Below are 25,141 nucleotides of genomic sequence, written 5' to 3'. Positions count from 1 at the left end.
CAAGAATAGCTACTCCTGCTTGCGTTTGGTTTCCATTTGCATGTAATATCTTTTCCACCCCTTTACCTAAAGTTTATGGGAGTCCAGCATTAGGTGAGTCTTTTGAAGACAGCAGATATGTGGTTGGTAGGTTTTTATGCATTCTGCCATTCCTTAGCTTTTAAGTGGAGCATTTAAACCACTCACATTCAATGTTAGTATTGAGATGTGAGGTACTGTTTTATTCATCATGTTAGTTGTTCCCTGAATACCGTTTTTTTCCCTGTTGCATTATTGTTTTTTAGATCCTGTGAGATTTATGCTTAAAGGAAGTCCTATTTTGGCATAATTTGAAGTTTTGTTTCAAGATTTAGAACTCCTTTTAGCATTTCTTGTAGCTCTCACCTGGTAGTGGCTAATTCTCTTAGCATTGTTTCTCTGAAAAAGACTTTATCTCTCCTTCATTTATGAAACTTAGTTTTGCTGGAAACAAAATTCTTGGCTGGCAATTATTTTGTTTCAGGTGGCTAAAGATAGGACCCGAATCTCTTCTGGCTTGTAGGGTTTCTGCTGAGAAGTCTGCTGTTAATCTGATAGGTTATCCTTTATAGGTTACCTAATGTTTTTGACTCACAGCTCTTGAGATTCTTTCCTTAGTCTTGACTTTAGATAACCTGGTGACTAAGTGCTTAGGTGATTATCTTTTTGCAATGAATTTCCCAGGTGTTCTTTGAGCTTCTTATGTTTGGATGTCTAGATCTCTAGCAAGACCGGGGAAGTTTTCCTCGATTATTCCCTCAAATAAGTTTTCCAAACTTTTAGATTTCTCTTCTTCCTTAGGAACACCAATTATTCTTAGGTTTGGCCATTTAACATAATCCCAAATTTCTTGGAGGCTTTGTTCATTTTTTAATTTTTTTTTTTTTTTTTGAGACAGAGTCTTGCTCTGTCACCCAGGCTGGAGGTCAGTGGTGTGATCTTAGCTCACTGCAATCTCCACCTCCGGAGTTCAAGCAATTCTCCTGCCTCAGCCTCCTAAATAGCTGGGATTACAGGCTTGCACCATCATGCCCAGGTAATTTTTGTATTTTTAGTGTAGATGGGGTTTCACCATGTTGTCCAGGCTGGTCTTGAACTCCTGACCTCAGATGATCCACCCGTCTTGGCCTCCCAAAGTGCTGGGATTACAGGCATGAGCCACCATGCCCTGACTAAATATTTTTTCTTTGTCTTTGTCTGATTGAGTTAATTCAAAAGCCTTGTCTTCAAGCTCTGAAGTTCTTTATTCTACTTGTTCTAGTCTATTGTTGACACTTTCCAGTGCCTTTTGTATTTCTCTAAGTGTGTCTTTTATTTCCAGAAGTTGTGATTGTGTTTTCTTTATGATATCTATTTCTCTGGAGAATTTCTCATCCATATCCTGCATTACAAAAAAAATTTCTTTAAGTTGTTTTTCACCTTTCTCTGGCATCTCCTGGAGTAGCTTAACAATCAACCTTCTGAATTCTTTTTCTGGCAATTCAGAGAATTCTTCTTGATTTGGATCCATTGCTGGAAAGCTATTGTGGTCTTTTTGGGGTGTTATAGAACCTTGTTTTGTCATATTTCCAGAATGACTTTTCTGATTCCTTCTCATTCGGATAGACTATTTCAGTGGAAAAATCTGGAACTCAAGGGCTGTTGTTCAGATTGTTTTGTCCCATGGGGTGATGCCTTGATGTGGCGTGCTCCCCCTTTCGCTAGGGGTGGGGCTTCCTGGGAGATGGACTGCAGCAATTGTTATTACTCTTCTTGGTCCAGCCACCCAGCAGGGCTACCAGGCTCTGGGCTGGTGCTGGGGAATGTCTGCAAAGAGCCCTGCAATGTGATCCATCTTCAGGTCTCCCAGCTGGGGATACCAGGACCTGCTCTGGTGGAGGTGGTAGGGGAGTGAAATAGACTCTGTGAGAGTCCGTGGTTGTAGATGTGTTTAGTGTGTTGGCTTTCTCAAATGCTGCTGACGCTAGCAGTGAAGTTGCCACAGGGACAAACTCAGGACCACTGGTTAGTCAGCATGTTGCAGGCAGTGGAATTAGCTGTTGTTTTCTCTTTCCTTGGAGCTGGGTTATTCTGTCATGAGTTGCTGTGATGTCCTGAGTTGGTTGACCTCCAGCCAGGAGGTGGTGCTTTTAAGAGAGCACCAGCTGAGATAGTAGAAGGGGGATATAAGCTTGCCCTACCTTAGCCAGGGTAAGTATTTGGGTTTCTCAGGTGATGGGCAGGGCCATAAAGCTTCCAAGAGTTTATGTCTTTTGTGATTGGCTACCGGGGTGGTAGAGAAATACCAACAGGTGGGGGCAGGGTTAGGCCTATCTGAGCTCAGACTCTCCTTGTGCAGGGCTTGCCCAGGCTACTGTGAGAAATGGTGGTGGAGTGGTTCTTAGGTCAATGGGGTTATGTTCCAGAAGGGATTATGGCTGCCTCTGTCACTAGGGAAGTGGGGGAAAGCCAGTAGGGATAGGGCTCACCCAGCTCCCAGGCAGTTGCCTGGTGAGGCCGGTCTCTCTCCTGCTGTACTCCACTAGTAGCACTGAGTTTATCTTCAGGCAGCCTGCAGGCAGAACCCAGATCTTGCCCCAGGCTATAAGCTTCCCTGCTGAGAAAACCAGCAAGACTTTGAAGCCACACCCCTCCCCATCTGCCCACACTGTCATTCACCCCTGGATTCTGCTCAAGAGAGTTTGTGCACAGTTGAAATTATTACAAAGTTCAGTTGGAAACTTCTTTCACCCTGTGACCCCTCCCAAATTCTGCTGGCTGCCTTCCCCAAGGGCTCCTATGAGATATAGTCAGGGATGGCCTCCCTGGGATTGAGCTGGAGAGGAAGAGTGCCTGCAAGCCTCTTCCTGTTGCTGCTTCTACTTTTATATTTCGCACTAAGTCCATTTCAGCTCTAGGTAAGGTTAAATCCTTCTGTAATCTGGATTTTCAGGTTCCCCAGTGAGGATGTGTGTTCGGAGGCCAGTTTTCCCCCTCTCACACTTTGGGAACTCACCGTTTTTTGCCTGTCTCACAGAATTTGCAGTGGCAATGCCGCTTCTTTCAAAAGATCTGTGAATATTTTTGCTTCACTTTCTAGTTTCACTGTTAATATAGGCAACAACCCACTGTGGTATTAGCATCAGCTGTGATGTCACTTATGCTGAGCAACACTTTGAAATCACAGTCGAAGCTTCCAACTGAAGCATCTTACACATGCTACCAGACCTTGTGTTTTGAAGAACTGATAAATAAGCACATGTATTACTGATGCGGTGTCATTGTCTGGGGTAAATACTCGGGGTTCGTCATCTCATGCCAAGAAAAGTTAGGACACAGGCACACACAAGGAGTTTAGGAGCAGAGGTTTCATAGGCAAAAGGAAGAGAAAGGAGAACAGCTCTCTCTCTCTCTAGTGAGAGAGAGGGGCTTCCAAAAGGAAGGACGAGCTGGCGGTGGAGTTTTCTGGATTTTATAGGCAGACTTGAGGAAGTGGTGTCTGATTTATGTAGAGCCCACAGATTGGTTCGATCAGGTGTGACGTTTACATAGTATGTGGGGAAGGCTGGCCACCCCACTCTAATCTTATTATGCAAATGGGCTTTTCACTTGACCAGAAAGCCCTTACTGTACACTTGGCTGTTAAAGAGAAGGGAAGATGGAGCCGCCATTTTGAACATGTCTAGTCTCAGGTAGCTTTTTCCTGCTGGCATTCACTGGTGCAAGCCTCTAGCTTGTTTGTCTATGTCTGCATCTGGATTTTACAGGCTGCTCTTTGTTAGAAAATGATTTGGGGGCTGCTTTTCATTAAAAAGGAAAATCTTACTGAGAACTCCTGTACCTTCACTATCTGCCTTAGTAATTTCTTCTTAATTCCTATGCCACAAATTTTTTTAAAAAATAGTTTAATAATCGTATATCAATGCAACTGTTTTCCTTTATAATCCCATGTATTTCATTTCAAAAAATCAATACATTAAAATTTAAAATATTCTGAGACTAGGTCCATAGGCTTCACTTGACTACCTGGATTATAGCAAAAATAAATATCCCCAACAGAAGAATTCCAGGTAATAATTGTAGGTACTCCCATTTCTAAGGGGTGGAGCTCAGTTCCTTTCCCCTTGAGTGTTCATTGGATTTAGTGATTCACTTCTAAAGAACAGAGTATGGAAGGGGAAAGTAGTAACCTTTTACGTTGATGTCATAATCCCTGAAGTCATGCAATGAGAAAAGGACCTCACCTCTGACATTCTTCCCCCAGAATCTATAACCCTATTCTAATCGTGAGGGAAATCATTACAAACCCAAATGGAGGGACATTCTGTGAAATACCTGACCAGTACTCTTCAAAAGTGTCAAGGTCATGACAGACAAGGAAAGTACTGCAGTCTGGAGAATATTAAGGAGAAGACTAAGCAGAAACCTAGGCTCCTGAGAACTAGGTACAACGTGGTTCCCTGGATGAGATCCTGGCACAGAAAAAGGACATTGGCAGAGAACTGGTGAAATCTAAATAAAATTTTTAGTTTAGGTAGTATCACTCTACTAATGCTAATTCTTTAGTTGGTAAGACTTCTCTGGCTATATCAGATATAACCAAAGGGGAGTAACATTAGAAGAACCTGGGTTAAGTGTATGCAGGAACTCCTCATACTATCTTTGCAACTCTTCTGTAAATCTAATATTTTTCCACATTAAAAGTTTAAAGAAAATCCCCTACAACTTCTTGTCCTAAACCACTCTCTCCTCCCAACTTCTAGTTCATGAATTCATTTGTTTATCCATTCAACAAATGTACTGAGCAACAACTTAGTGGCATGGGGATGGAGCAGGGGCATGAAGACAATGACAAGACAATGTGAAGACAGTGGCCTCAAGGAGCTTATGGTCTTTCCTGCAAATCTGCAAGACCTGCAGACAGTTATGATGCGATGGCATGAATGCTTCAGTGGAGAATTGTGCAGTGTGTGACACAAGCATAGGAGAAGGAAGAGAAGTAGGACTTTGCCAGGTGAGCAAGGCACTGTGGGCACAGTGACGAGCAGGTGTGCAGGCACACAGGTGAGAGAACACAGTGTCATCAGGAAACTATCAGTAATTCCATCTTATAGGAGTGAGTAATACAAGGGGAAGTTGCACTCAGTGAGGCACAGAGGGAGACAGGGGGGATATTCCAAGGATTGAGATTTTGTCCTGCAGGTGAAGGTAAACAACTGATGTGTTCTAAGCAAGTGAGTCACAGATTTGCACTACAGAAAGATAAGAAACCGGACAAGGTGGAGGCTCTCCGGCTACGGACAGAGGAATGACCCCAGGCTCTGTGCCTTGCCTTCTGCTTTGAGTCCTTCCTCTATTACGTCTCCCTGGACTGGTCCTCACTGCCTGAACACCCCCATCCTTTTTCTCTGCCTCCCTGCCTTAGAGCATCGATGTAGCCTTGGATTGTGCCATTCCTTGTTGAGACAGCTCCACAGACTATACATGTATGTCCTTTACTCACCTCTCACTTGCTGACTTCTTAGTGTTGTGGCTGGTGCTCAGCCACCAGGACTTTGCCTATGGGCAAGGAAGTGCATACAATTGCAAAGCACAGATGGGAGGCGTTGAGAGACCAAGTCAGCAGTTGCCGGGTTGGAGAGGAGGAGATGAATACAAGAGATGTTCAGTAGAGAAAATCAATAGAAAACATTGACAAATTGGAAATGGGGAGAGAGAAAGGAAGGATTCTGATGACAATGCCAGCTATTCAGCTTACAGAAGCGAATGGATGGCTCTGCCCTTCTCTGTGATAGGCAACAGAGGAAGGCGGGGGAGGGGAGGAGTTGGAGGAGGAGGGATGAAGAAAGGGATAATGAGAAGCTTTGGTGGGTTGAATTCATTGTGCTGGGGAAACAGTTGTCCATCCAGACTTTGGAAGAACCATTTAGGAAGAGGATAAAGATGTGAGGTTATCCACATATTTCTAGTATCCTGTGACAATAGGGTACATGTATGTATCCATACACATATGTGTCTCTTCCTCTTAAGCCAGTTTTCACTGAGAAAAATAAAGAGCTCTGAGCATAGAGTAAAATAAGTCTTGATTCAGGTTCTAGTTCTGCCATGTCCCATTTGTATCAAGGCTCTCCAGAGAAAACCAATGTGTCCACTGAGAAGTCCTGGGAGCAATGAGTACACTACACCAGCATCTCTTGAAACTTAGGTTTCCTGAAGAAATGGCTGCTTCCAGGACTGAAGAAGAGAAAGGACGAGATGAGAATGTAACATCCTGTTGTGTCAGGAAGTAATGAAGTGCTCAAAGAATGATTAGGTCATGTAAAAACCAGAAACCAGATGGAATGGGCTCCCACTGAGTGACCGGATCAGGGACAATCTGCACATCAAAATAAATAATGAAGCTAACAGAATTCACTGAAAACTAGACAATCACTAGTCTAGTCTAGTGGTTTTCTGATAGTGTTTATCTGATAGATAAACAATCAATTGAAAGTTTGATGGGGCACGGGATATTTACAAAGTTTTAAAGTCCCTCTACACATAGCATGCCCTCAATTAATGTTAATACTACCACAATGAACAAATGCTTTTTAACTACAAAGAGGGGAAAAGAGTGACTTCACAGCAAAAAAGCCTGGCAGACACCACCTTAATCAAGTGATCCAAGTGGGCATCGTCAGACACAGGAGGATGGAGATCACGTGCCACTTGGTAAGATGAAGCCAGAGTGAGAGGACCAGCTCCATGGCATTCCTGTGAAAGAGCAGCACCTGAATTTCGTTGTGAGAAAATGTTGGACAAGCTAAAATTGAGGGTCATTCTACAAAACCAATGGCCTGAACTCTTCGAAAATGTCAAGATCGTGACAAACAAAACAGAACTCATCTTCCAGATTGATGGAGACTAGAGAGGCATGAAACTAAAAAAAATGGTGTGTTCCTGGAGTGAATGTTGAACACACAAAGATTATTTTTCTTTTGTTTAAGGATCATCAGAGGAACAACTGGAGAAATTTGAATAAGGACTGCAGGTTAAAAAATAGTATTGTATCCATGTTAATTTTTTTTGAGACGGAGTCTGTCTGTGGCCCAGGCTGGAGTGCAGTGGTGGTGCGATCTTGCCTCACTGCAAGCTCCGCCTCCCGGGTTCACGCCATTCTCCTGCCTCAGCCTCCCGAGTAGCTGGGACTACAGGCGCCTGCCACCATGCCTGGCTAATTTTTTTTGTATTTTTAGTAGAGACGGGGTTTCACCATGTTAGCCAGGATGGTCTCGATCTCCTGACCTCGTGATCTGACTGCCTCGGCCTCCCAAAGTGCTGGGATTACAGAGGTGAGCCACTGCACCTGGCCCCATGCTAATTTCTTGACATTGATTTTGATCTTGATTATGTAGGGGAGAGAAGGTCCTTGCTTATAAGAAATAGTACAATATTCACAGGTGCTGGAGCATCTGGCCAGAAATTTACTTTCAAGTGTTCAAGAAAAAGAAACATCTTTGCATTGCATTTGCATTTTTAATGTAAGTTTATGATTATGATTGGGAGTTGCTGAAGACATTTGTGTATGTGTGTGTGTGACCAGTTTTTCCCTAATCTACCACAATATTGTCCTTTTTTTCAACCTACCACAATGGCCAAAGAAGAACTCTTATTTCCAATCCTAGATAGGCTCCTTATCTCAATAAATGGCCTGAAACATTTGCTTTCTTGCTTAAGACAAAGCCTAGGAGACATCCTGACCCCCTTTTAAGCCACATCTTCCATCCAACCTACCAGCAAGTCCTGCCAAGCCTACTTCCAACACAGATCTTGAACTTGTTCTCTTTCCATGGCTGCTGCTTCCTCCCTCACATGAGCCACCCCATGTGCGTGTGAAGGGGAATTTCATAAACAGGTCCATAGGAGGCTATGATCTCTCTGTGTCCCGTGGCCACATGTCTGGCAGTAGACCTGAGGTTGAGCTTGGTCAGAAGGATGCTGACGGTCAGCTGAACTTGCGTGGAGGAGAGCAAAGGTGTGCAGGACTCATGAGCACCTCCACATTTCTCTGTCACTGCAGGAGACTATAAGTCCTTAAGAGCATGATGGACACCACGTCCTTCTGCCTTCAAATCACACATGAGTTCTTCCTTTGTCTAATTCTAACTGGAACCATACAAACAAGGGGGTCTAGGAAATGTGACTGCTAGCAAACATGTCGATGAGCGCATTCCCATTGCATCGGCCCCTGCCCATGCAACCTCAAGAAGCCATGTGACCTCACTCTATCCCATCATTCTGCTCAGGCCTCTGCAGAGCTGCTGCATTCTCAGTGGTTTACGGTGGCATTCTCCGCCAGGAAGTTAACTCGGGAGCATGGATCACATCCATTTTGGTGCCTACTGAATCTCTAGCACTAGAGCAGTGCCTTAGTCCATTCAGGCTAAAATCCACAGACTGGGTGGCTTATTAACAACGGAAATGTATTTCTTACAGTTGGGAAGGCTGGAAGTCCAAGATCAAGGCACTAGTAAATGGTGTCTGGTGAGGTCCCACTTCCTGGGTCATAGACCTTCTTCTCACTGTGTCCTCACATGGTGGAATGGGTGAGGGAGCTCTCTGGGGTCTCTTTCATCAGGGCATTAAACAAGGGATCCACCCTCATGATCTAGTCACCTCCCAAAATCCCTTAGGGGTTAGGATTGGGGGTTAGGAGTTCGACAAATGAACTGTAAATAACAACATTCAGTTTATAGCAAACAGGGAGTGGCACATGGTAATGAATAAATGCCCCCCCCCCCACTCACCTTGACATATGATTCTCTATTTTTGGATCTGCTACTTACAACAGCTTACTTCCACATGCTAATTTTTTAAATTACATAGCAATTATTAGTACTTTTTTATTTTAAGTTAAAAAAAAATCCCACACAAATTGACTTCAGTAAAGGGAATATATTGGTTCAGGGAATTGAAAAACCCAGGCATTTTTCAGGCACGTCTGGTCCATGGGACTCCAATGCCTCTGAGATCTGTTCTGCTTCCTGTGTGTTGGTTTCAATCTCAGGCAGGCTTTCCCTTGGGGTGGCACCTGGAAGCTCAAGACTTCTCTTCCTATGAGTTCCAACAGAGCTTCTTTCTTGCTAGTCATTTCCACAAAGTCCTAGGAGTGGAAGGAACATTCCCAGAGAAAAATCGAAGTACTGTTAAGAGAAGGAAGGAAAATGGATGTCCGCTGGATAAATGCATTTGTTTGCTACAGATTTGTTGTAAGGATTAAGAGATGATATTTTAAAGTTTCTGGCATGTAGCAAGCCCTCAATTAATGCAAGTTGCTGCAACAATACTTAATATTATCATGTAATTATTCTTACTGTATGAATCATTTTATAAGCTGTAGGATAGCAAATCAATGCTAGATTTCATTATCTCCTTTGGAGTTCAGCAGATGTGGACAGCTCAATTCAGGAGCAGAGGGGAGGAGAAGCCTCCATTTTCAGGCCCAAGGGGCAGGCAGCAGCTTTCCATTTGGGTGGCCAGGTTGGGGGAAAAGCCTGGTTTCCTGTGGTTCTTGGCACGGCCACTTGGTGGCAGTCTTAGCCCACTGTGCCCTTCCCAGCCAGGCCCAGCTGCTCATCTGGGTTTCCCCTGAGAGCCTCAGGGACTCTACCCCTCTGCATACCACAGCTCTGTCCCTTACGCTAGGTATGGGGGCACTCACACGTGGGTAGATGCATATAAAGGATTTCAGTGCTGTGCCAGGGTCACAAGGAGGGGGAAGAGAGGCTTTTGGCCAGTCTGGGCATCTCCACCAAGCGTTTGCAGGACTGGTGAGCAGGTGGGGCCAGGGACTCCAGTGAACATTTGTCATGTTGCGTAGCGCTTGTCCAGTATCGTTGCTGTACTGGAGGATGTTCTGGCTTTCGGAGTCCCACCTCCCCATAGTTGATGCTGAGACCTCCATTCCCCAGGCTTCTTTACATCACCGGCATCGGTGAGACCCAGGCAACGCAACAGACTCACTGATGTGAGTCTTCAGTCCAGAGGTGAGACTGAAGGAGGAGAGAGGTTCTTTCCTGTACCCATTTTGCTGGCAAAGATGGTTGCGGAGGCATCTGGCTTTCTCTAGTGGGGTAGGGGTGGGGAGGGGAAGTTGGTTGTAGCAGTTGAAAGGTCAAGCTCTCAATCCAGAGGTGATATTGAAGGGGGACATGGATGGCAGTGGTGTTCCAATAAGACTGATTGCTCAGCATTGTAACGGACATGACTTTTGAAAGCTTGGTCTTAACGCTTGTTCTCCCGGCCTCCCACAATGGTGTGAATCACTCAATATCCTTTCAATGTACTCCTTGTTTTGTTTAATCAGCCAGAATTGCTTGGGGTGCTTGCAGCTAAGAACCCTGGCTAATATGAATACTAATGCTGATGTTTCACATGCCAAGGATAGGGCCTCTTTAAAATTCAAACACTTCTGTGAGGTCTCATTTTAGAGATGAAGCAAGTATACTCAGAGACTTTAAGTACTTTGCCTATGGTCACACAACTTGGAAGCACCAGAGCTTAGATTCCAAAGCAAGATATGTTGCTTTTTGGAGCCTATGATCTTTCCAATGTGCTGGACCTTGAGTTCCATCAGGACAGGGATGTTGTCTATCGTATTCATCACTGCACCTCCATTACTCAGCGCATATGTGCCGACATAGTAGGTGCTCAGTAAACATTTCACCTCAGTAAATACTGAACTAATGAGTAACTAAAAATGCCACAATCTCTTATCTTGGAGTGTGTTTGGACTTGGGTCTTCCCTGGGGGCAAGATGGGGGTAAAGGGCAGGTAGGCTTTGCCACTTGAAAGTCTCCCCTCCCTCTTGAGGCCCCCCTGCTCCTTGGTACACCATGTCCTGCACGCTCCAGCACTTCTGTGCATTCTGACCTTTGCCAGCTCAGCTCACTGCCCGTACTTGGAAGGTGACCTGGAACAATGGCTGTGATTGTGTTGGCTGTTTGCTTCCTCTGCCTTCAGTGGTCCAGGTCTCGGTGGGAGATCAGGGCTGTTGCTATCAAAGCCATCTAGAATCTGAACAGGGTCGTCTGTGCATTGATGCCTCAGTCTCCTCTCCCCAGGCCTGAAGAGCGGCTGCCTGGCCTCTGCTTAAGGGCACTGACTGTCCACTTTTAGAGCCACTCCAAGAAACAGAATGGTCTGTTTTTCGTGTGTATAAAACAGACTTCCCTACAATGTTTGTTCTACTTGAGCCCTCAGGAGTATTAAATATTAAGTCCACCCTCTTTTCTAAACAACAGTCTTTGTATACATGAAGACAGCTGTTCAAAGTGTATGTTTTTCCTCCCACCCTCCCATCTGCTTTCACGGTTTCTTCCCCAAGCTCAACATACTCAACTCCTCTACATGCTCCTCATCAGACATGGCTATGAGTTCCTTCAGCCTCCAGTGCTTCTGCCCTGGACGGGCCCCCTGGCCATCACTTCTCCTTGGGTATAGCATGGGACCTGGAGGCTACACCACAGCAGGGCAGAGCACCACAGCAGGGCTACACCACACCAATGCTGGCTTATACATTGCTCCCTATGGAGACTTCATGACTGGGTTCTAATCCTGTCTCTGCCTCTTCCTAGCTGTGTGACTCTCAGCAAATGATCGAACCTCTCTTGCCACGGTTTCTTCATCTGTAAGATGGGGTTAATAATAGTATCTACTCAGAATTGTTCTAAGTGCTAAATGAATAAATATTTGTGGAGTGCTTAAAGCATGGCCAGACGTAGTGTTATAGAAGTGTTACACATAAATAAATCAAACTGTCAGTTTCAGTATCACAAGTATTTTTGACCATCTGCAATGCATCATCTCTCATATTGAGTTTATAGTCCATTTAGACCCCAGTCTTTTATTTTTCTATTTCAAATATTCTCTGTTGCTGAGCCCCATTGTCTTCAGCGTGCACTTTTCGTGGTTGGATTTTTTGAGAGTGTGCAGGAGTTTCCATCTGTCCCTGTGGCATTACATCATCTCAGCTGCTGTTTCCCCACACAGCTGAGCTGAGCTCCTTTGGGGTGCTAACTGCCGTCCAGCATGTGTGGTGAAGTGTGCTGGGTTTTGGGAATTGTCTTGCCAACATCCAGACACATGGCTGTGTCTACAGCATTTCCTGTCTGTCTACATGGAACCGCAGAAACTCCTGAAAGAGTTTCCCCAGCCTCAGTTGGATGGTGCTAGGACCTCAGGCCAGGCGTTTCATGGTGGAGATGTTCCCCAGCCGCACACCTGCCAGTTTCTCTATGTGCGGTCTAAGGACCACATGCAATGGAATCTTCCTGCCCCAGACCCAAGTCATCACACTTGTGGTATGGCTTCCAGGTCCCATGCCATAGCCAAGGTATGGATCTCTGGGGCTGGAGTCCATGAATGTGCAGTTTAAACAGTGCCTCGGGAGACTCAGAAGGGTGATGTAGGGGATGATGGAGGAGCTTGGCCAAGTGTGGTGGGGAGGAGAGTTGCTGCTGCATCCCAGCCTGGGTCTGCCCATGACAGACCCTCTCCATGTCTCAGAGGACGGGCTTTCTTTCCTCCTTCAGCATCAGGACATGGACTACAGCAGGGCTTGTGGGCTAGATTCCTGCGCTCCAAACTGAGGCTCCCTAGGGAAGATCCAACACCTGTTGGTGTGAGCGATCTTCCAAGCCTACTTCCTCATGCTCACAGCCACCTTTCCAACAGCCTGTGTATGACCATCCCCATGGGAAGCACTCTAAACAGACCCCTGTGGGTTATCATGTTTTGAGCTGGGGTTGGAAGCTCAGTTTCAGGAAGGAGAAACAGCACAATGCTCTCCCTGGTCACTGACACCTAGACCTGGGGACCAGTAGACCCTTCCCAGATCACACTTGGCCTCCTCTTTGCTCTTTCTCAGTCTCTCAACCCAGAGGTTTTCCCCCTTAGGGAGGAGACTCCAAGCAAGGAGGCTCCAAGGCTTTGCATGGTCAGCCTTGGGCCTCAGATAACCACAGCTTTGGGACACGCAGGTAGACCCAATAACAATAATCCTGCCTTTCAAGGTCCTCTAACTCAAGTCTTCCCAGCTCTTCCCCATCGTGAAGGTGCTGCTCACTGACTGGACATTGCCACCAGCCTGGAGGAAGGAGGAGGTGGTGACCCATGACCAGGGGCTGGGCAGGCAGAGCAGAGAACCTCTCTAGGCACATGTGAGCCTTGTGGGTAGAGGTGTGGACTTCCTCCAGGGTACTGGACAGTGGGCACTGCTGTGTGGCTGTCAAAGGCATCTTCTTGGCCAGCTGTAGGCCCTGTTTGCGCACACACAGATGAACATGGGCAGGTAACCATGGCTGGTATGCACGTGTAATCATTTCACTCATGCACTCATTCACTCTGTCATTCATGAGACTGACAAATATCAAGTTCTGGCTTTGTAGCAGGTGCTGTATGTGGTGCCGGGATAAAGTAGTAATGAAGACAGACACAGAACTTGCCCTGGAGGAGTTCAGAGATCAGTGAGAAAGAGAAACAAATCAGAGACTAAACAAAGCATGAGGTCTTAGGATATGTTAAAAATATTTACAGACTCTATTCTGTGAACACCAGCCATAGTGTTGGAGCAAAGCCCTGGAGATCCTCTCTGGGCCAGGTAGAGCCACCTACAAATTCCTTTGTGAGGGGCTGGGGTGACAGCAGCTACTTTTAACAGCAAAGAAGCATTGCAATATTTTAATAACCTGATATGACCAAACCAGCACGGGCCAGCTGTATAATTGGCCCTCAACAGAACATAAAACAGCAGAATGCAAGCTGGATCAGGTGTCAGGAAAGGCATACCTGAGCCTTTGAACTCAGATATCTGAACTAAGACCTAACGATGGAGTAAAAGTCAAGGATTCGTTGCAGGCATTGGCGGGTGCTAGAGAGACTTCCAGAGAAAACAAGAAGTGTTTGCACCTGTGGAAACACAGAGATGAGAAAGCACATGGCATAGCCAAGAAAATACCATCATTTCACTATATATGGCATGTAGCATGTGAAGAGAGAATAGTGTGAGATGGGCTTGGAGAGGTCATTAAGGCATCTCATCGGCAACATTAAGAGGGTTGAGGATGAGATAGACCCTAATTTGATGGAGATTAAATTTCTACCACTGCATAGAATGACAGATTGAAGGAGAAGTTAAGTTCAATAGTAGAAAAAGCATGCACTTCATATTTATTGAGAGTCTTACCTACCACACGTTTGAAGAGAAGTAGCCAGCAGAGAAGGTCTTTAAGTACTTGGAACACAAGCTCCCTCATGATCTTAGGTCTTGGCTTAAATGCCACCTCCTCAGAGAAGTCTTCCCTAATTGTCCCATGTAAAATGGCAGCTCCTCCTCATGAGTTACCTCTTTGCCTCATATGTGCCTGTCTCTTTGCAGCACTTGTCATCATTGGCTTATTGTATATAGTTATTTAGAACGTAGGATCTATGAGGGTGATCTTTCTTTCCTCAGCACCTAGAACAGCTTTGGCCTTGGCAGGTGCTCAATAAACATTGGAAGGGATATTGAATGGATGAGAAAGACCCCATTGAAGTAGAACACAAAGGCCAGGGCCCAGGGAAAGGGATTGCTGTAGAAAGGGAGAGATACTGCTTCTGTTATAACAGGGGCAGAGGAGGAAGGGGCGACCTGAACGCAGGTAGGTGTGTAGATTTGGTGTTGGGAATGGAGGTCGTTCCTTTCTGATGGCTCCTCTTTTCTTTTACAGGAAGGAAGCAAGACTGGTAGCTGAGATGAAAGAGGTGGTGGAGGAATGAATTGGTTTGGAAAAGTGAAGACATTTTTGTAGAGGAGAACTGAATGAGTTGCTGACAAATGTCAGTAGGACTGCCAGGCAGTGCTGAGGACCTTGTTGAGAGTGACCTTCAATATTGCTAATAATGAGCCTGGTCATGTGGTTTTTCTCAAATAGCATCCAGCTGACCAGGTGTAACTAAAGAGGTGGCAGCCAGGAGATTTTCCAGGGCTAGAGTTCTACAAGACAGAGGCAATGTGAGAGCATCAAGGCAAGGAAGTTTCTGATATCATTGACTGTGTGGCTGCCATGCTAGACCTGGGAATTGAGGCTGGATATGGACGGAGGTGAAGGGAGGATGTGGCAAATAGAGGAAAATCTAGGAGTCAATAACTAGGCAATGACAAAGAACTGATGTATGAAACTAGTTGGGTGAGTGAGCTAGATGGATCCAAGGGAGTGTTGGAGAGTGGGGAATCTGGACTCTGGACTCTGACTTAGGTGAATGGCATGATCAGCCCAGAGTTTGACCAAGAGCAAAAGTGGCTTACGTGGAGTGAAGAGGAAGGTCATTGGAGATGAGGAGGTCAAACTGAGGGGCCTTTGTGTTGGAGGAATTGCCCATATAATGTACTGAAGTCACTGAGGATGATGGTGGACCTTCAGGAGAGAGGAGGATCATGGGCTAAAGATTAAAGTCTTCACGAGTAAGTGCATATTCAGGATTCTGCACTTGGCATTGGCAGCCTAGGGGACTCAATGGCATGATCCTTGGTGGAACATCGGCCTGACAACAAAGTGAGGGAATGATAGTCTGGAGGTGACAATAAGGGGCAAGTAAGACACAGCCCCTGTGCCCAGATCCTAGGGCACTCAGGGTGCAGAATAAGTAGCAGTGTCCAGGAATCAGTGTCTGGAGAAGAGGAGAACCAAGTAAGGAAAGGTGATGCAAACACATTGACAGGGAAGGTGAAAGCATAGAGAAGTTTGTTGATCGTCTTATGGGAATCCCAGAACCTGGCAGAATAATTTAGGAGGGAGGAGAGGAATGGAACTGAGCTTTCTCTGCCTGGATGTACCTCTACCAGTTTTCCATCCCTCAGAATCTTTTATTACATGACCACATCTAATAGGGAAAGCAGCCATGTTCTCACCCTACCTTTCTTTCCTTAGCATTATTTGAGAACAAGTCATATTGGTAGGGAGATGGCAAAAATAAATAAACCCTAATGCTTAGTTCTGCATAGAAGCTACTCCATGGTGATTGCCTAGCACAGAGGTGCATGCTGCCACACTCCACGGAGCTTCTACAAGCTTCCAGGAATATTCAGTGAATCAACAGCATCATGCAAAGTACTGGACATGTGTTGCCCTGCCTGGGAGAACATTTTCCTGAATAGCATGCCAAGCTCTAGCCTTGTCTCCCTAAGAATCTCTGCTGCCACCACTACTGGTCCCACATCCCACGACCATCATCCTGCTCCTCTCAAGACCATGTGACCCCATTCCCAAGAGTTCCAGTGCTCAGCCAGCAACCCCTGACTTACCCTCTGAGATGACAGCACATATAGCTCCACGAAAATGTGTCAGGAACATGAGAGGCCCCATCCCTCCCTGGGTCTCTGGTCAGAGGAAATGCCTGTGCTTCATTTACCATGATCTAGCCTGGACCCAGGCAACTGAGCTCTGCTTAGAGAATGCCATTAAAGCTACTGTAAATGGTGTTCATCTTTAAAATATAGCCAAACATGTTTAACAATTCCAGGCATGGAAGCAAAATGAAACATAATTCGCGTGAGCTCAGGGAGGTGGGAGAGAATGTGGATCATTTTAGTACCCACAAGTAGTTCAGCAGGGCTGGAGCATATGTAGAAGTTTTAGGAGTGCTAGAACTGGGGCTGGAGGAGTAAGCAAGACCTGACCAAGATGGGTTGTGTTAGTCTTGATAAAAAGCTTGCATTCTCTCCTGAGGGTCTTTAGAAGCCATTGAAGATCTTAATGGGGGCAGCCAGAGATGGGATGAGATGCCCATTCTGCACAGGTCATTCTGTCCAGAGTGAGGGCAGTGGATTGGAGGCCATCAGGTACAATCTAATGCAGCCTCCCTTCATCTAGCTTCTACCATCCAAGCTCAGCTTATATGAGACCTTCACCTGGAGGGATGCGTAGGTGTCTTGCTTTCACTGGTAATGTTAGCGTGACTCTCCACCCCAACACTCAGAGGCACCCTACTCTGTCTGCCCCAGTAGCACCAGGGTTAAATCAGATGAAGGGGGTATGAGGGTCTGGAAAGCAATGGGGGACACTCGACAGAGTCGCGGTGATCATGGAAACACCCAGGGCAACAAGGATCCCAGGAAATCTTTTTCTAGCTACAAGACAAATTTATTTTCTAGACTCCAGAGTATACCCATGCCTTCCAGGCAACAGGACAGGTAGACACAAGTTCTCTTAAGGGATTGGGAAGAGGAGGCCACCCTGGAAAGGAGATACCAAGTCACTGCCTCTCCTGACCTTGTCCTCCAAGGTGAGGCTGCAAATGGTGTAGTAGGAATTTCTGACAATTCTCCTTGAGACGGAGCTGCCTGTGCATTTTCCTTCCCAGGTCCCCTGCTTAGTTCTTTTCTCTCTTTAATATATATACTTGGAGATATCACATGGTGATCACCAAGTCCCAGAGTTTGAAGTACAAGCACTATGTGGACAGCTCCTACGTGAATCTCCAGTCTGGACCTCTCAAACTTTAGCCTACGCAAAATCTCTGCTCAGGTGTTCACAGGCATCCCAGACTTCAAGTATCCTGAGACTAATGTTCCATCGTCCAAATAATCTGCTTCTCCTGCACTCCTTTTCCAAAGTAAATGGCAACTCCATCCTTTCAAATGTGTAGATTCAAAATCTGAAAGTCATCAGTGATTCCTCTCTCAAACCACACATCCAATCTATTATCCAATCTTGCTGGCTTTACCTTTAGTACATGTCCAGAGCTGGCCACTGCTCAGCCTTCCACCAGCCGCAGCTTGCTGCAAGCACATCATCCTGTCCCCTCTGGATCATCGCCTCCTCACTGGTATCCTTACATTTGCTCTTGCCCTCCTGTGATCTGTTATCCACCCAGCAGCCAGAGTGCTCATTTTAATACTCAAGTCATGTCAGGCTTCTGGCAAAAACATCCCTTGGCTTTCCATCCCACTTGAAGAAAAGGCAAAATTCTAACAACAGTCTACAGATCCTGTGCAATCTAGCTCATAGATACTTCTGAGTCATTTCCTATCTCTTTACTCTCTGCCCCACCCCATCATTTGCTTTCTGTTCCAGCCACACTGGCCTCTTGCTCTTCTTCAAAGATGCTAGCCAAGTCCCTACCTCAGGACCTTTGCACATGTTGTTCTCTCTGCCTGAAATATCTTCCTTCAGATATTTGCACAGTTCAGTTCCTTACTTCTTTCAGGTCACTGCTCAAATGTCACCTTTTCAGAGAGTACTACTCTGACTGCCCTGTATAAAATAATACTCCATAACCCCTTTACCTAGATGCATTGTTCCGCTCTGCACTTACCATTCCCTGAGTTAGCCATGATAGGCTACATAATGGTAAGGTTACAAATCCCAAATTTAAATGGTTTGTAATATAAAGGGTTTTCCAGTGATATGCTAGAACCAGCTTGTACTGGCTCCAGAGAGCCAATTGCTAACTTTTCAGGAAATTTGTGAGCCAGGTGTTATGCAAACATATATAATTTATAAAAAGTTAAATTACATAAAGTTATAATTAACTAAATTATATTAAAACCAAAGGCAATAAATACTCAAAATGCATCCCTTCTTAATTATATTACTACTTATTTTACTACTGTTATTAATATGTTAAAAATTTTATTATTACTACATACTACTATTACCTATGCACTTGATGTTATTTCTCTTGTAGCTGCCTGGTGGAAATACAGTATTATATAATGACATGCTACTATGCATCTCTACCTAACTCCTCGTCTGGTGATGCCATATTGAAATCAGCCATACTGAGAGTATTTACACACTGCTGAAGTCAGTAAATGCTACAAATCAAGGTTTGATTTATTTTTTTTAGTGCTTGTCTAGATTTATGAAAGTAATGGGGAAATATTTTATGATGCAGATTAAACTTACAAGTGTGCCATGTCTGCAGCTGTTACACTGTGAACGAATGGCACAAAAAATTGAGGCAGTATTTCTCTAGTATTCAAAAACTTATCCCCAATTCAACAAAGAAGTCACTCACACCATAGATGGATGAGTGAAGTTCTAACATATGTCTTTATTGTTTTATCTTATTTGTTAACATAAATGAACATATCAGCCAACATGCAGGTTGGAATTACAGTCCTTTGTAAATGGGAACCATAAACTGATTATGGATACAATACTTCAGCAAAAAATGAACCAAAGCATTCTGTGGGTATCAGTTGGATAGATGCAATTTCAATGTAGAATACTGTGTATTTTATTATTTGTCAATGGCATCCTTTATAAGTGAAACACATACATGTGTGCACACACACATGTTGCCCTTCTCCTTTGGAGAGTTGGCCATTAAACATTTACTAACAACTATTGGCTCATCCCTCTCACACACTCCATGTCCATCATGGAGCACCTGTTCACATCCCTTACTCTGAGCCCAGGTGATGGCACTTCCACCACCTGAAGCATTGCTGATTGCTGCAGGGGGTGTGGGGGAAAGGGGCATGACAAAGGCTCTGCCTGGAGGTGACACATGCTACTTCTGTTCATATTCCATTTACTGAAGCAAGTCATCTGGCCACGCTACCTTTAAATGAGGGGAATCCCACAATGTGTCTGGAAGGAAGGAAGGGAGAACCGCCACAGCACACTGGATGTTTACATGTCTATTGTCTGCCCCACTCCCAGGCTTGAATGTAACCTACATGAGAAAGAGTTGCCTTGCTCACTGCCGTATCCCAGTATCCCAAGAACCTTGGAGATGCTCTATGAATACTGAATGAATCTGAGAGGAAACTAGCCCGAAGGGGGAAGGCTCTGGAAGCAAGCCCTCATGGACCAACGGAGAGTGAGTGTCATCATTTTATGTTTTCTCCAAATCTTGTAAACAATGTGTTTTAGTCTTAGCCTGTCATATGCAGCTGAAATCTGGGGCAAATAAAATCACATAGATGCATGTGGCTCTGTGTTATTATTACAGGCAAGCGAGGTAAAATTGAAGGATGCAAACTTGAAGGGCGTATCACTCTCAGATTCATGTAAGTGCAGGGTCAGCCCCGAGAGTGGGCACCTCCTTACATTTTGTGCCCTGGGATTCTCCCTTGCTTTACCTTAGCCTTGATTCTACAGCAGGTCTCTTCCAGGAACTCCCAATTCCACAGCCTAATGGACATCTCCAACTCTAGCAGCTGCTTCTTTCAGACACAGCCAGAGAGCAGCATATACAAGAGAATGCTTAGCTGAGGCAAAGTTTTATTCACTCTGTCTAGCTTAGAGACATAATAAACTCCAGGGGCTGAATGACGGCTCTAAATGCTGAGAGATAGGCCAAAGCAGTAAGAAGGAGGCATTACTTATTTTAGAATAAGCGCCATGTCATTACCTTATTGCTGAAATCTTGAAGCTCAGGTGTTGACTATTACTACGATTAGGTCTGATGGTATCGCACACCCAGGATGCCAACAGCGCCAACTCCCGCTGATTGAGTTCCCACTGTGTGCCAAGAAAGAAGACACTAGGCCTTCATGTACATTGTTTCATTCATCAACCAGCACCCTAACTAACTCTCTTTTCTTGGTATTTCCTGTATGTCAGAAAAGGAAACTGAATCTTGGGGAGATTAAGCAACTCTTTCAAGGTCAACCGGGGAGCGGCAGAACCAGAGTTCGAAGGAAACCTTTCTGAATCTGACGTCTGCCCCTTCTAAATTAGGACTCTCATCTATCAGCCTGTGAGAAAAAATACAGAAAGCATCATTCAGGCAACACATGAACTCAAGACACTGAGACTTCGCTAACCTTCCTCGCACACAAGGTCCTAAAGGAACTACCACACGCATGTCCACATTTGATGCACATAACAGACTCTCACCGCATTGAAATAAACCCCAGTATGATCATAATAGCTTTTTTCTTTCAATTTTTATTGAACACAAGTATTCCGACAGAATGCAAAGTCAAAATTCTCAGTTAGTACTCAGTATTTACACCAGTGAGAATGGAAACAAAGGTGGTATCGATGTTTCACTTGGTAAAAAGTTTTATAACAAGAGAGAAGGCCCCCGAAGTACAGAATGCTGGGTAGGGATGTTAATGGAGGTCTGAAAACCGCCATCCAGACAGACAGCCTCAAGTGAAAACCTGGGACTCGGAAGGCTCCATAGAAAAGTGTGAAAATAGAGTTCCACCTCCAAAGCTGCACTATATACACCACAGCCCTGCAGGGTCCAGTGGCCCTGCTCGTCACACTTGAGTGCTCCTCCAGCAGAACTTGGCCATGCCGGTCTTCATGTGAATACATATGTATGGCACATACACACATAGACACATAGACATTGGAAACTGGAGTTGATCCCTCCTTCAAAAATTAAAAAAGAAAATTATAAGCTTTGATCTCTTAACATAAAAGATAAAACATCTTGGAATAAAATGACTCCCTCTTTGATTTTAGAGAAAGCATTGCTTTTTTTTTTTTTTTTTTTTTTTTTTTAAAGGAAAAACTCTTGCATGCTGAGACAAACCTATGTGTAATGGGAGAGAACAGACCAAAATGTGGGCAGAGTCTTAGGTCCTAGCTAATGGCAGAGCCAGGGTTCTAGGGGGTCAGCTGTCCCGGGCCAGGTGATCTGAGGGCTGACCTGTTTCTTCCTAACCATCAGAACCAAAACCAGTTTGACCTAACCACAACCACTTTGACAGTCTTGACAAGGTATGGCATGGGCTTGGCCTGGTGTGGCAAAGCCATCGACATTACAAGATGAAGAACTGAGTCCACTGAACAGCCTGGTGACCAGAAGAGCCTGCCCCTCACTGCTGGGCCCTCCCGGTCTCAGACACCCAGGCTCTCACATTCTACTGTGTGCTCTAAGATCTCTCTTCATGTTCCTCTATTCTGAGGGCCTGTGCATTTGAACCAGAGATCTGTGCAGGCCCTAGAATCAAAGGGGCCAGGGCTGTGTGTTCTGGGATCCTCCATTTCCATCCCCAGGAGCTGAGAAAATGCAACATAACCCCACATTGAGCAAATGACAAGACCATTATTCTTCACAGTTTGAAATTATAATCTAGCATCGCCACTGATCAGACTGCAGAAGTGTCAGAACGTTGGGGAGAGTGGCCCACAGAATGGACCCAGAGGCAGCCTTGCCACCCTAACCTCTTGCTGCTTTGTACCTTAGGAGAGGAGCGCATGCGGAGTACTGATTTCTGTTTACTTAGCATCATCTTCATCATCATCATCATCATCTGTATTTCATTTTCTTTGTTAAAAGGCTTCGATTCCGTTTGAGTGATTTTTGTTTCCTGAATATTTTTTCTGAACTATCTGCTATACCTTCCACAACCAAACTATGTTGAAGTTTTATTTCAATACTATGACAAAAACACGTTTCACACTAAAATATTCACGCATCCACAGTGCACAAGCTTGCAGTTCTAAAGTAGAATGAGGGAAAAAAAAGCAAAATTTCTATACAAAGGGCTGGCTTTTCCCTTCTCCCCCCCCTCCCATCCCCCTTAAAGTTTCTGTATTTTTTCCCCCACTTGGTTTCCAATCCAGGAAAGTTGTGTTATGACTCCAGACAGTAGGTTGTTTCTTTCTTCTTTTGTTTCTATAAATGCTGCCTAAGTGAACAGAAGGCCGATGTTACTTTACTTCAACAGATTTCCAAAAAAAGACACTAATTCCCTGAAGCACACATGCTCTTCCGCTCAAATCTAGATTCTGGGCTCAAAAGGAAATGGTATGTATAGATTTTATTTGGCTTTCTACACAAAGGGGATGTGTGGGGTAATAATGTGTGTTCACCAAGACCAGCCCCAACTATACAATCTTCTCTGCTTCATTCAACAAAGCCTAAGGAGTCCTTCAAAAGAAGGGTGAGAACGCCTGGGAGCAGATCCCTTTTCACAGATGCAGGCAGGTGGCGGCTAATCAGAAAGTGGTCTAACCCCCAAAGAAACACAAAAATAACCAAAAATTCAAAAGCAAAACCATTCCAGAATGAGATGGATTTTCACCTGAGTGGGACCCAGGCAAAAACTGCAGATCAGAAAAGAGGGGAAGAGCAGCTGTAAACAATCATGTTTTGTAAAGTTGTCCTGTGCTAAAGCAAGCGTGGGATGATCCTACCTACCTCTAGGTGGTATTTGTTACCTTAAAAAATAAAAGGCAGCTATTTTACACGGACATTTAAACACAACCAAAGTCAAACATTTGTCACCTTGTAAACACTGGAAAACAAAGTTGGCAGAAAGAAAGAAAGAAAAAAGAATGTAAAAGAAAGAAAAAGAAGTCTGAATACTGCAAATTGAGATCTACCCCCAGAAGCTGCAATTTGGCATTCGTCCTATAAAATAAGAGTCTACGTGGGAATTGAATTCAGCTAGAAAGGGTGACACACTTTGCATACTGAACAAATACAAAGTGAACAGAAATTATAACTTATTTATGAGGTTTTACAGAGTTCAAACTTGACTGAAAGTATAAAAATAAACTGTGGACTTTGTTCATTCGATTAGTCTTAGTGCCTGAAAGTATTTCTCTGAAACTGGTCTGTGCCAATCGGGTAACACCAAGTGTGGTCTTCCTGAACCTAGATTTCGTTTCTGAGCTTCCTAGATTCTTAATTTGGGGTCCTTTTGTTTGATTTTTTAACGGTTTCAGGGAACGGAGTGTCCTAGTTTGGCTGTGGGTTTAACCTTTTTGTCTCATTTTCTTACAAGTGAGTGTGCAACAAAGGGACCCTTTCTATAAACCTACAAAAAGGAGATTCCCATGTTTTATCTGTTTAGTTTTTTTTAAAGGCAAAAGACACTAGAGAAATGAGATGTGTGTGTGTGCATGTGTGTTTGTGTGTGTGCGTGCGTGTGTGTGTCTGTGGTGTTGGAAATGCTCTGGTGAAGCTGCTGTGTCACTTTTTATTTTGATCTTTGCTCGGTTCTCTTCACCCATCATGCTTTGCTCTCGTTCTCCTTTGTCTGTGTGGCGTCATTGGGGACCGTCTTGACTTCGGCTGGCGCTGGCTTCGTTTCTGTCTCCTGGCACTCTGGCTTTGCTTCTACGGGGCCCTTCCTGCAGAGAATCAGGAAAACAGAACCACTGAGACCACGGTCTGCAGACATCTCGCCCCTGCATCCAGGCCTTGGGGACAGCAGGGAGGAGGAGGGGTTCTCCAGTGACAGCACCCGGCTCCAACCTCTGCCCGTCAAATCACCTGGGAGCACTAAAAATCACCCAAGCCCGAGCTGTGTTCGCGGAAATCCTGATTTAATTGGTCCGGACACAGTGACTTTTAAAAGCACCCAAGTGACTCTAATGTGCAGCCATAGTTGAGAAGCACTGAGTCAGAAGAACGAGTCCTTTCCTCTTCCAGCCCTAAGTTGATGCCAGAGGCTGTGTTTTTACCTGGGGTGGTGGAAGGGGGCAGCAGAGGCAGCTCCTCCTCACCCTGACCAGCTGCAGTGGCAACAGCTCAGCTGGATGTAAATGCAGCCTGCTGGGCTGGGCTGGGCTCCCAGCACTGATTTCAGGGGCCCCTTTGCAACCCACTCTTGCCTGTCCCTTCCCCACCCCACCCTGTGCTGTTGCAGGATGATGCCTCTAGGGCCTGCCTGGGTAGGGTGAGAAAACACTGATGGAGGCAGCTTTTCATGGCAGCCTGGTGGGGTACTAGAGTGGGCCTGGTGGCTATGCGAGAGTTGAGGGCAGCTGAGTGGGCAGGGCTATCAGAGTCCTTTTCCCTCCCGATGCTGAGATTCAGGGCTCCTGGCGAGAGCCCCTTGCAGCCCATGGTGGCAGCATGGCAGCTTATCTGGGGAGCAGCCATAGGAGCCTCTATAAAAATCTAGGTCTGACTCTGCCTCCATCAGTTCCAGGAAAGGGAGTCGGGTCTGAGGATGCATGGGGACAGGCACAGACCCCAGCCTCAGCTGGTGCCACTGAATTTTGGCAAGACACTTACAAACCTGAAAGGTTAAGGCCTTTCTCTTGAACTTTGAGACCCAGCAGCCATTTGATGCTGGGGAGCCCCGAGTCTTCCCAGCCACTCTAAGAGCAGGAGAAGCAAGAGTGGGCTGGGGGCCGGGGTTGGGAGGGGAGGGTGAGCATCTGAGCCACAGTGTGAGGGGACCTCTGAACTGCACCCT

The 25,141-nt window shown here is 45.3% G+C and overlaps 1 protein-coding gene and 1 long non-coding RNA gene across 21 annotated transcripts in view; one reads left to right on the top strand and one right to left on the bottom strand.

Moving 5' to 3' along the window:
- TTC12-DT (TTC12 divergent transcript) overlaps positions 1–20,898 on the top strand; it is a 36,020-nt gene extending 15,122 nt beyond the window's left edge. Inside the window, exons 2-5 of one of the 5 annotated variants that reach the window (NR_186361.1) lie at positions 14,745–15,478; positions 18,703–18,844; positions 19,686–19,845; positions 20,592–20,898. This is a non-coding gene — a long non-coding RNA (TTC12 divergent transcript). Of the gene's footprint in view, positions 1–14,744; positions 17,299–18,702; positions 18,845–19,685; positions 19,954–20,591 lie in introns of those variants that run through there. The other 4 variants (NR_199709.1, NR_186360.1, NR_199707.1 and 1 more) reach the window with 4 other exon arrangements.
- The window catches only part of NCAM1 (neural cell adhesion molecule 1), a 317,017-nt gene continuing 312,774 nt past the window's right edge, over positions 20,899–25,141 (bottom strand). For all 16 annotated transcript variants that reach the window (NM_001242607.2, NM_001400616.1, NM_001400621.1 and 13 more), the window contains one exon: positions 20,899–24,068. In NM_001242607.2, the coding sequence (NP_001229536.1) occupies positions 23,948–24,068 (121 nt within the window). In that variant the 3' untranslated portion in view covers positions 20,899–23,947. The remainder of the gene's footprint in view (positions 24,069–25,141) is intronic.

This window comes from Homo sapiens, chromosome 11 (genome assembly GCF_000001405.40).
Source record: "Homo sapiens chromosome 11, GRCh38.p14 Primary Assembly".
Taxonomy (NCBI): Eukaryota; Metazoa; Chordata; class Mammalia; order Primates; family Hominidae; genus Homo; species Homo sapiens.
The sequence above is the reverse complement of the archived record's forward strand: the minus strand, read 5'-3'. Positions and strand labels throughout refer to the sequence as shown.